Source organism: Homo sapiens, chromosome 14 (genome assembly GCF_000001405.40).
Source record: "Homo sapiens chromosome 14, GRCh38.p14 Primary Assembly".
NCBI classification, from domain to species: Eukaryota; Metazoa; Chordata; class Mammalia; order Primates; family Hominidae; genus Homo; species Homo sapiens.
In genome coordinates this window covers 32,716,728-32,729,150 of record NC_000014.9, presented here as the reverse complement: position 1 = coordinate 32,729,150, position 12,423 = coordinate 32,716,728, and the positions used below count along the sequence as shown (strand labels likewise).

The 12,423-nt window shown below is 36.5% G+C and overlaps 1 protein-coding gene across 15 annotated transcripts in view; it reads right to left on the bottom strand.

Moving 5' to 3' along the window:
- AKAP6 (A-kinase anchoring protein 6) overlaps nt 1–12,423 on the bottom strand; it is a 508,387-nt gene that overhangs the window by 108,534 nt on the left and 387,430 nt on the right. Inside the window, exons 1-2 of one of the 15 annotated variants that reach the window (XM_011537383.4) lie at nt 10,834–10,844; nt 2,948–2,955 (exon numbers count right to left, since the gene is read on the bottom strand). The exons of the other annotated variants lie outside the window; for them this stretch is intronic. The gene's annotated coding sequence lies outside the window, so the exon portion shown is untranslated. Of the gene's footprint in view, nt 1–2,947; nt 2,956–10,833; nt 10,845–12,423 lie in introns of those variants that run through there. 15 annotated transcript variants of the gene reach the window in all.

Below are 12,423 nucleotides of genomic sequence, written 5' to 3'. Positions count from 1 at the left end.
TGAGCAACTCAAGCATTTTTCTGCCTCCCTCAATGTTAAGGAACAAGATGCCTTGTCACTGTGAGGTCAGAGAAAGAAAACATCATGAAAGGGTTGTAGATGCTCACTGTCTGGTAAATAAAAAAAATAAAAAATAAACTATATACAGCTAATGCTATAAGACTCTACCGAGTGAATCTTTTTGAAATAGAGGGATCATCAAAAGATGGCCAGGATTGGGGGATGGCTTCCACCTAAGCAAAACTTGAGGGCTATATTATGTGAACCTTGCCCCCAAAGCTCCCTGGGAATTCTGCTGTTGTAATAAAACTTCAGAAGAGGAAAGAAAAAAGGCAGCATGATGGAATTCAAAATAATGCTCTAAAAGCACACAGAGAGATTAAGACATCCATTGTAAGACTTTTGTATGGTGCTTCTGTTGGTTATGCTGAAAAGAGACCAGACATTGCTGAACAGAGAGTGAAGCTTTGGCTGCGAGAAACACACAAATTAAACTAAAGACATTTCTTGATTATTAGAATAGGGCTGTTGTATTCTGTGTCATCAGGGTTTGAGCATTTACATCTTACACCATATTACTTTTAACTGAGCTTCAGTTGACTTTATATTAGGAAAAGTTAAAACAAGGAAAATGATCTAGTTATTAGAATGACAGGATTGAATGTCTTTCCTGGTACAAATATAATGCCACAAACACCTGTTTATCCAGCAAGATCCCCTTTCCCATATATGCATGATTGACTGATAGATACGATTGATAGATAGATAGATAGATAGATAGATAGATAGATAGATAGATAGAATACACTGAGAAAATAAAATATATCTTACTTAGTCTATCAGTAAGAAAGCAAATGCTAGGAACATACCAAAACACCAAACTACTGGCAAAATAATGTGTGAAAATATGCATTTTTGCAAAAAAAAAAAAAAAAAAAAAAAAAAAAAAATCCAGGGATGTGTCTATTTACAACTCTCACGTGTTTTCTGGCTAGTGTTTGCCCTCCTCATTCGAGGCTTCATGGTGGCCCCTCAGCAAGTCCATGCCTAATGCCATTCAGTGGTGAACAAAGAGTCTTTTTATATAAAAGTCCAGGGTCCAAGCTCAGCTGTCCATGCGGAGTGCAGGAATCTGCCAGAGGCCAGTGTTGCCTGTGCAGCAGCTCTTGTGCTGCCCCGCTTTTCAGAAGACTTGTGTGTAGCATCTCATAACGCATATGATGCTGCACATGGAGTCAGTACCACCAACACTTCAAGAAGATGTTCAAAACTGAAGAAAAGGGTTCAAGCCCAAGACAAATAATAGTTGTTATTTCTTGCAAACTCCTTGTATTTTACCAGTAGAATTTATGGTGAGTAATTGCATAGAGAAATTATAAAGACTCCTACAATTGTCCTTGTAAATTAATAATAGGTTTTCCTGATTGGGATAAATTTGCTGCTGAGCCTTTGGAAAAATTAAAAAGTGCAATGTCATTTAAAATTGCCAGAACTCGCACAGCAAATGACACCTGAGGTTAAGAATTGAGTTTTCCCCCTCTTCTAGCTTATTCCATTTGCATGATCTGGAAATCACATTACACTGGCCATGTACTGTTAATTGGACATAGATTGCATTATCTTTAATATAAATCAAACTACAAATATTAAAATGAATTGCAAATTCCCTAATAGAAGATCATAAAACAATCTTTTTTAAAGTATCTGCCATTAATAATTTAATTCCAATCATACCACTCAGAAAACTTAAGTAGGAGACCTGGCAACTTATTTCTCCAGTCATTTCTTTTAAATAACAAATATCTAAGCCTTTAAAAATAAATATAGCTAGACTAGAAGTCACTGTTACAGAACAAAAATAAAAACACAAATAACTGAAAACTTTCATGTCAATTTCATAAAAAATACTGCATAAGGACGCCAAGTCTACCTGTCTCCTTTCTTTCCTTCCCATGTCAAGGGTGAGAAAAAAGTCTCCTATAGGTAAAATTTAGTAAGTTTAAGAACTATCTTGATCATACCCTGTAAAATTATAATATTGATTATTATTTTTCTATTTACTTTTTAAAACGGTTCTCTATCCCCTTAGATATTTCCATAAATTTGATATCCTTCTGAAGCCTTTGTATGGCCTTTAATGAGTTTATATTAAATATTTAATACTGTTTAGGGCATATCCACTACTACCAAAAACAGTCATATTCCCAGCAGTCCCACTGTTTCAGGCAGAGGACTTGATTGATCCTCCTAGCCTGAATTGAGTAGAATGAAAAGAAGCAGTTGGAAAATAGCTGCAATCATTTAATGCAGATGACCTCTGACAGCCCCGCAGCTCTTCTATCTGAACAGAAATTTGCATGGGGTCTCTGTGCAGAGGAACAATGTAACCTAAATGGTAGACAATCTTTATTCTAATGAAGTGGGTGTCAAGGTCAATGTAAAACTGCAATGATAAATGGTGCACCACTAGGCAAGAGAAGTTGCATAGGCATTGTAGTGCTTTCACATTAATTGAAGACTGAAATGCACTGCGTGAAAAGCACAAGCCTCTCTTTTCACCATAACGTGTTAATGCGCCAATACCAAAATGATCTCTTCAAGATGTTTGCCTGTTGACATGTATCTTATTGCAAAAATAACACAAGTATAAAATTACGGCAAAAAATGGACATTTTTAGAATTTAGTGTTTTCCTGGAATCAAATTACAAAAATTAAACAAAACGCTCCCAAATGATGTCCTGACACCTAATGTAATTCCTTTGATCCCTTTTTCTTTTCTTTTTCTATTTAGACCTGTCTTTAATTAGTTTCAACCAAGCAACCTTTTACAGAACCCTTCATTTGGGTACTTTCATGTTGAGCAAACTGTAAAAGAAGACTGAGGAGAGAAGAATCACTCAAATATTATTTTTTCCCCTCACTTCTAAGTTTTCTCCTTAGTCTGCAGTAAAGATCTTCAGGTGTTGTTTGTCCTGAATGAAAATGTAATGAAAAGTCTATGGTGTGTAAAAGAAAATAACTATTTTCTAGTGTGGGAACTAGAAAACCTTAATCTGGTCGTTGGAAATTGCCAAAATGACTGCACAGAAATAATTACACCATGACTTCAGTTGGTCTAGCAATTTTGTGGCAGTCAATATTTTTCATCCCATAAAAATAAGGATAGTAAGCTGCTTTTTAAAAATCCTGATCTACTTAAGCCTGTAAAGGGGACATTGTTTGCTAATACACTCATTAGCAACCAAGGACTTTAACTTCATCAATTAAACAGGAAATGGAGTTGCATCATTTAGTTTCATAATTTGCTAAAATACGGATAAGAGCATATTATTAACCATTCAGGAAACATTTCCAGGCTCAACTCATAATACCTTATAAACTGCATTTTTATGGTTGATATTTTTTTCAGATTCTGGTAGACTCTATGATATAGCTACATTTCCAACACTACACTTCCTGTTACGAATAGATTTTAATAAAGCAATTACAGTTAGAATAGTCAGGAATGGTCTGTAGGTCTGCAGTCTTGGTGACAGAAGGCTATTAATATCCTTTACTATAAAATAAATGATATTGCTAGTCTGCAACTCTGATGTAAAAACAAATTGTCTCAAACGGAAATCAACATTCCTGAAATGGTAATTCAGAGAAAAAAAAATCTCAACATGAAGGAGGATAGTGAAAAAGAAAAAAAAGTTACTGATGAAACTGTTTAAAAAACTGTACAGCTTCATCTGTGTGTGATTTGTCAGGTCTGAAGCTTTGACGTGCCCAAGGGGCAGACCCCAGCGGGGAGTAGGCTGCCGAGCTAAATAGCTGTGAAAGAAGTCTTAATGTAGGATGGAATTCAAACTAACCTTGACATGACCTCGGGAAAAATATGCAAAAAGTAAAATGAATGCTCTCTGCAAGATACATCCTAATTTTGTGGTAGAGCTGGTTAGTTTTACAAACATAACTGAGACCTTAAAAGAAAAATAGAAAGCTAGTAAAAGGGGAAAAGTTTAGAATTCAGGCAAAAAACGTAAGCAGGCATGTGTTACTGTGAAGGCATGTGAACCATTTGGAGAGAATCCAAATAAAAACCCACACTGAACAATATTGTTGTCAGCCTGTCTATTCAGGAAAATTGTTTTTTTTTTTTTTTTTTTTTTTTTTTAGGTTGAATATAAATGACACAAAGCCAAGATGCCAAGATTACATCATTGCATTACAAAGTCTGTTGTGGCTTTTAGCTGAACAAGCCCCACGGATCTATTGGTTTAGGACAGTAATTCAGCAAGGAGGTTTTAATGTGCTATTTTTTCCTCCAGTGTCAATAAAAAATAGAGAAATTTAAGGAAGAAATATCCCGTGTGCTCTCTAGTCTATTTCTTGCTTTTGATCTGTATTTGATAAGCTGAACTCCAGTTTTTGTTGATGCATTCAGTCCTGATTTGACTCTATTATAAATTTTGCCTGTTTTGAAGTGATCGGCTTAGTAGGAAGGCATTTGCTCTAACTCCTTAGCCAAGAACTGGCTAACTCACTGGATATATGGAAATTTTAATTGAGTGTCAACTTGTATAGAAATTCAATCCTATTATCTTCTCAATGCAATTTTGTAGCAATACCAGTTATTTACTACACTACTAACCAGATTTTAAACATAATTAAATTGCTAAGAACATACACCCAAAATCTAATGACTTAAATCCCTTCACCAAGGATGTGAATTCCTGGATCAGGCGTATGCACTTCCAGTAGATTTTCATAAGCATAAAGTGAGCAGATGGATGCAATCATTTAGAAGCACGGAGAGTTTTACTGAATACCTGTTGAACAACCATATGTAAAGATCATTGTTTAATGGATGTTATGCCATAGGTCTCTTCTTTGGTCCATTCTTATTAAATATTTTATTAATGACATAGATAAAGAAAATATGAATATGGCATATTGATCAGATTGGCAGATTATACTAACGTCAATGATCAATAAAGTATAATATGCATTTTAGTTCAGAGATCATAAACTCAAATACCTAAATGTAGCAGTATGCTAGTAAACTGGTTCTCTAAGGAAAAAAAAAGAAGAAGAAGAAGAAAAAAAGACCTGATTTGTAATGTTCGTTGATTTCCCTGGTGTAAATACTCCCACTGTGGCTGATTCCAATCTACCAATGGTGGTTGCTGCTGGTAAAATTCCTGAATATTTAACAATATGCTCTCATAAGTCAGTATTAGCCAGCTCCAACACCTCACTACCAGGCAGATGATATCAAGGAATTGAGTAGGGCAAGGATAAATCCTCTTCTCTCTTTCATATTCTAACTATTGCTACTGTCATAAAAAAGAGAACTATTTTTTTAAATAAAGACAATGCATAAATGTGACTATTACTAATATCTAATATCAGTAAGAGATAAGCAGGCATAGTGTGAACTGTGGAGGATGGGAGAGCATATGCCTCATCTAAAAGGGGCAACCCTTAACTCAGTTCTGCCAGCTATTACCCTGTGGAAATACGGCTTCAACATGGGTTCAGTATGGCAAGACATATACATTTTAAAGCCTATACACACACACACACACACACACACACACACACATAAACACATACGCACACATATATATATTATGTGAAGTCTCAAAATTGTTCTATGTTGCATTAAAACTTTTTAACACTACACAGATCAAACTATGTCTCTGGATATGAATCTGCAGGCAACTACTTTATAATATCTATTTCAGATGATAATAGACTCTAAAAGGAACAAAACATGCTGCCATAATGAGTTAAATCTAAGAAGGAGAAATGACAAATGTAAAGTCAGGCAGAGTTAATAACCACCCCATTTCACCCCACTACCCCCACTCCAAAATGATAAAAAGTTTTAAACTGCATAAAGAATGGAGGTAACAAGGCTTCACTTGCCTTTAGGTTCAATGTGAGTCAACAGACAATAGAAGGTAGATGTAAATTTTTAAAAAAGTGAGACAGGAGAGTTCCCTTGACCCCTTCACAAGACTTGTGATAGAGGTGTGGCTCGTTTACTCGGCCACTTGCAGTTAAACCCCTTGCAGGAGGGGGAGCCCGCAGGTGAGCGGGTGCAGGAGCCAGGGCAAGTGACTTTGGGTGTCAGCAGGAAAAAACACTGCACTGGCCCGCGGCAGCATCTAGGGGTTGCCCATAACCTCTGGAGCCTCAGAGGGCACATGTTACAAACAATGTTCTTTTAGCATTTGCCATCCATGGATGGTGTTAAACAGCTTAGCGAAGAGTCAGCTTGATAGCCTTTTTGGGTTCCTGCACCCGGTGCATCCTGAATTCTTGTCCAGCATCCAGGAAGAATTAGGTCACACAAATGGATGGAAAGGTGATGTATGTGGAAGATTTTACTGAGTGATGGAAGTGGCTCTCACTGGGATGGGGAGCTGGGAAGGCGATGGAGTGAGAAGATAATCTTTCCCTAGAGTTTGGCCATCCCTGGCTGAACTCCTCTCTGTCCCCAGCCAGCCGAACTCCTCTTAACATTCAGACACTTCTCTTCTCTCCTTCTGTGCTGCACTGCTCTGCTCTGCCAGTGGAGCTTGGGGTTTTTACGGGTACAGGGTAGGGGGCGTGGTGGGCCAGGGTGGTTTTGGAAAAGGCAACATTCGGGCAGGAAAACAGGAATGCATGTTCTCATTTAGGGCTGCGGTTCCAGGCTTGAAGGTGGAGCCCTTGCCAGGGACCCTGCCCTCTTCTACCCAATATTTCCCTGCTTCCTGTCCATATTGAAAGGAAACATGATTTTGGATTGAATTAAGAAAAACACAGGGTTAAAAAAAGAAAGGTAATGGATATATTAGTTTGACTGTGATTTGCTAGGCCCCAACCTTGTACTGCTTGCATTCCATTTTCCAAAAGGGACCTAGACAATGTATTAAATGTTCCAAAAAAAAGCACTTCAGTAAGGGAGAAGATTCAATACTTCCCCAAGGGTCAAGCTGTTGAATGAGCTAAAGGTATTCAGCTAAGAGGGCAAATAAAAGTTAGAGGTGAAAGAAGAGAGGAAGGACATGTTAGAAGATTTTGAATATTTAGAGGACTTTTGCATAAAAAATATTAATTTGTTCCATCTGACCTCAGAGGTCAGACTGGGGGTCAAATGCTGAAGCTTGAGTAGGAACACAGCATGAGAGATAGTGGGTTCCCATTCATCAGAGGTGTTCAGGCAGAGATGAGAAGTCTACCTGGCTGGGATATATTATGGGCAAATGAAGCATTGAATGAGGATTGGCCTGGGAGATAGAGCCTAAATTTCCTCTCTGTTTTAGAAAGTTGAGCTTCTTTGGATCCACATTCATAAGATCAGCCATAACAATTACATTATCCCAGGTAAAAGAAATGCCAAGACTGAAAATCACCAAGTTAAGAAGAAGCTGTCACTCGCTAGAACAAGATTCAGAAACAAGATTCTCATGCAGAAAAACCTGAGAGAACAACAATGGAGCAAAGACACAACCACATAAAATGTAAGCTGTATAATCTAAGCTAAGATGGGCTACAGAGAACCAAAAGAAAGGGCAGGGTTAACTGAAAATTCTAAAACTGTCTTCAATCCATCCTACTTTAGAGAGGCGTTTCATTGAATTTGAGGTACAGAATGAAACTTTCAAGTCTTTTTATCTGATAAATACAGGAGACTTCTACTATAGAATTTATGTGGTTAGGTTCATATTTCAACAACGTCCTTCCTGTAAATTTTTTTAAAAGACATAAACTTCAAGATAAATATCACCCTCAAAAATTTCCTTCATCAATACAGACTTTCTTCGGTAGATATCGAAGATGTGCATTTTAATCCTTGCTACCAGCAGCATGGGCATAATTGCAATTTCTCCTCCATGCTATGAAACTTCAGAGTTGTGCTATATTACATTGAAAATCTACACATCTCAAAGGGTTTTCTGTGCATTCCAATGCACTTTAGTGACGATGTGGATCATTGCCATAATACATCATGACTACTCTAATTATGGTTTCATTATGATGCACCATATCAGGGCTGTTGTAATGTCATGTCTGCACATAGTAAAAATAGTTATGCAATTATGTAATATCTGTCAGAGTATGCAATGTAGGAAGGAAAAAAGACTTGAGGCGCAGCAATTAATGTAATGAAACTCAGTTTTCTCCTTTAAAAAAGGTTTCCAATGTAAAAGTTTCATTTATTTTGTTTTCCATTTCCCAACCTAAACAAACACCTCTAAACACAGCTATTTCTGTTGAATTTGGCACTACTACATAATTTTTTAAAGTTTTTTTTGAGACAGGTTCTTGCTGTGTTGCCCAGGCTGGAGTGCAGTTGGCTATTCACAGGCATGATGAACACACACTATAGCCTTGAGTTCCTGGGCTCAAGTAATCCACTTGCCTCAAGCCTCCTACGTAGCTGGGACTACAGGTGCATGCCACTGCACTCAGCACAACTACTTAATTTAGAATTTTCTAATAACACAAAATAAGATGAAAAGGAAAAGAAAAATCTTTGATTCTAGCTGTTCTCCAAACATAACAAAAGAAAACACTTACCTAATATGTGCTATAAGAAATCCAATAACAAGTTAAGTGTAGTAAATTAAAGTCCACTGAAGAATTACCATTATGCAAACTTCAAACACAACAGTCACATTCTTCTATCTTCCATGACCTCTTGTGTGGACAGACTACTATTTGCCTAAAACTTGATTGACCATCTATCTCCTAAGTTAACTATGATAATGAAATGAGATAAAGCAATGATATGCATATTTACATCTCTAAGCTACTAAAACCATAAATATTCACTTGCCTTTAGTCTAGGTGCTAAAATATACCCAAATATCTATAAAAACATAAATGTTATTTGCCTTGTAAATTTGAAGAATAAACTTTAAAAGATGGTGGCTATGTCTTCTTTAGTTGACCACAGAGTATCTTGAATATTTGAGACCCTCAGAAAGCCTTGAGTCAGTGAATAGTTTCTCAAACTAAGTGATGTATGAATTGCTGTTTGTTGTTTTAATATACAATCAAAGGAGAATTTATGTATCATAGGTTACCACATATCTTTATAGCTGAATTATAGGCCTGTTCAGTGCAAGTATTTATAATGAAAATGCTGAAGAAGCCTGAACTATGGATGTGTATGGTTGTGCAGCAGCAGCAGCCATTTCAAATATAGATTTATTTTTAGCATTAGGAGGCACCAAGTTTGTTTAAATCTGGACTTTTTTTTTTCTACAATTGCAAGTAATGTTAATAGCACACTGTAAATGTGAAGGCTAAGTGTGCAATGTCAAAATAGACTGGATCTCTCTGAAAATTGGAAATTCAGGCTTTTCAAACATAATCCAGATGTTTGGCTTTTATTCAGATTTCAAGAAAGAGGGAACTAATATGATATAAAATTCATACATGCATATTTCATTAGTGCCTTTTGTATCACTGAATTAAACATTCTGAAACGTGCTTTTCCCAAATCACATAGAGTTTTAAACCAAAGCAGTTGCCAAGATGCTCCACACCTCAAAAATAATGCCAAATTAATTTCATAAGGAAGAAACTATATATTTCTTATGTTAACTCTGTTGATATTTCCTCAAAGAGATATCTTGCTTTCTCTCTGAGGATAAGAAGAAAAATGAGAAGTAGAACACTGTAACCATTGTAGTTTATCAAAAAGGTGTTGCTGCAGAACATGGTGACTTTTGAAATCTATGAGAATCAGTTGCCTAAATAAAGGCTGAATGTATTATCGCCCTTACTGTCATCATCAAAAAACTATCTTTTCAAGTTTCATGCAAATGGGCATTCCCCAAGGACTAAGGACTCCAGCACTGAGAGGCTGCACCCAGAATTTACCATGCGATGGTAGGTGTTAAGACAGAGCTGATCAAAGCATTTCCAGGGTTGCCTGTTCCCAAAACACAATGCAAGTGCCATTATACCTTTATGTATTCACATTGTGACTTTTTTTTTGGCAGAGTATTTTTAATTTTCAAAGGGTTTTCACATCTATAATCTTAACAGATCCATAATGCTATGGAGTTTTTCTTGGTGACTGCTCAAATCCCTGTATAGTGAAAATATCTGATTTCTTATGCTACTTTTTAAGAATATCTCTGGTGCCTTCACTTCAGATGAGGATAAGTATGGTTTCAGAATTAGATTATAAGCTTCTACAAGGGACTGTAGGAGGTCAGAGACCACATGTCATTCACTCTTTACCCACTGTAATTCTTAGCATTATGGTTTAAATGTAGGAGGTTGTTGGAAAATATTTATTCATTTGAATTTCTCCCAAAAGAAAGTCCAGGCAGATATAGAGAGCTGTTGAAATATATGCCAGATACAGTGTTAGTACACAGAAATGAGTACAGTGTGATTGCTTTATCTTTGAGCTTCATTTTCTGTGAAAAACTTATTTGGTGAAACATCCAATACAGGAATATTATTCTCAATTTTCAGACAGAAACCATGAACAAAGTTAATTGTTTATCATGGCCATGAACGGTTAACACAAGAAAAGCTTCTGTGAAAACCTATCAAAGAAAAGAGGAAGGTGGCAGTAGTTCTTTGAATATTTTAAGGGCACCTTTTATGAGGCAGTGTTTTCTCATAGCAAGAACATTTGATCAGAATGCGAAAGGCTAAGTCTAATTTTTAGTTCCGATACCAGTATGCTACAGGCTTAAAAACCATTCTGTTCTACCCATCCCCTGACCCCTTGGGCCTTTTTGTTTCTTTTGGGTACCTACCCATATTTGTCAGAAAAATATTTTGACAAAATAAATTTTAGAGATTTTAGGCTTTAAGGCTTAAACGCTGCTGCTGCAGCCTCAGAAAGCTTGACTGTCATTTCAATGGATTGTTCTTTTTTTTGCTGTTCTCCTATGGCAAGCCCATGGGGAAAGTTAGTAATATTACTTCTGTCTTACAGATAAAAAATTGATACATAGAAGCTAAGTGACTTGCCCAAGGTCAGTAAGATTGTACTAAAATCCACAAATAGAATTTCAGGAGGAATTTCAGCTTAGCTTGGTAAGCCATACTACTGCTCTTGAAAATACATCTTTAGATCTCAGTCCAGAAGTCTGAAGAAATTGGTGGGCCCTAAGAGTATAATGTAAATAAAGTCAAGAATGCCATACAAAGTGACAATGGAGTGGCCAACACATACTTAAGAACCCTACTCTTGAACCTCTTTAGCCAGATTCATTTGGCGTAGGCTCATCCTCAAAAACCCAACAGATTTTTAATAGCCTGAGGTTGAGGCTAAAAGGGCAGATAGGAGAGTTCTCACTGATGGTCATGCCTGTCACTCAGAAGAATGACAGTTCACAGTTTAAAGAAGCTCTAGGGTACAAGTGGAAATTTGTTGGTATAAACTAAGACCATAGAGAACAAACCTTGGTTATAACTGCTTTTGAGCACTTTTTCAGCTATGTAAAGGAGTCTGCTATAAATATTCAAAGAAGTTTCTCTTACATCGAAGAGAAACAGAATGTGTGTGTGTGTGTGTGTGTGTGTGTGATAAGAGACAAGAGTGATAAAAGTAAAGAGGAGGAAGAAGTGAAAATTTGGAGAATGTAATGATGGAGATGCATAGATGCATGGAGAGAAAGTTAATAAGTAAATAGGGGAAGTTACAAAGGTTTCACCAGATAGGAAAAACAATTCCTAGTCTACAGGGAATAAATCCTAAAAACTACATAAAAATAAACAGCATTGCAGAAAAGGAAGCAAATTACAGCTGGAGAAAAGGTCTTAGTGAATGGCTTCCCTGAAATAAACAGATGACAGAATATGATGTTGATGACTTAAACATTTTGCATAAAGGCTGAAAAAAATTCATTAAGAGGATATTAGAACCAAAAGAAGCAGAAGTACAAGGATGTGGCCATTTAGCACAGCTTATAGCCACAACAAGGGATAACTTTTCAAGAAGATGTGAGTACCAAAACATGTGATTTTTGAGAATTTTCCCTAAGCACCTTCACTGGGCACCATCAATCCTGCAACTGTTACTTCTGCCTTTGTTCTCTTGGTGGCTTGCCACCTGATCCACCTGATCCACCTGCTCCAGGGAAGGTCATTTCATATTTCCATGGTCATCCCATCTGCAAAACAGGGACAAAGCTATCTTTGCCACTTGTCTAACACAGGTATTTTAAGAGGTAAATAGATCATACTTGTAAGAAATTTTAGATCCCGATATAAAATACACCATTAATAAGAAGTCTTTGATTTTAACACAGATGAGTTTTGTAATAAGATTTTTTGGTTTGCTACCGATGTGAAAGCAAGACTGCAAATTTCCCATGGTTTTTATTTTCTGTCTTAGAAATAATGTATTGTAACTATTGTTATTAGAGATTGGCCATATTAGAGAGTAAAAGAAATCACACATCAGG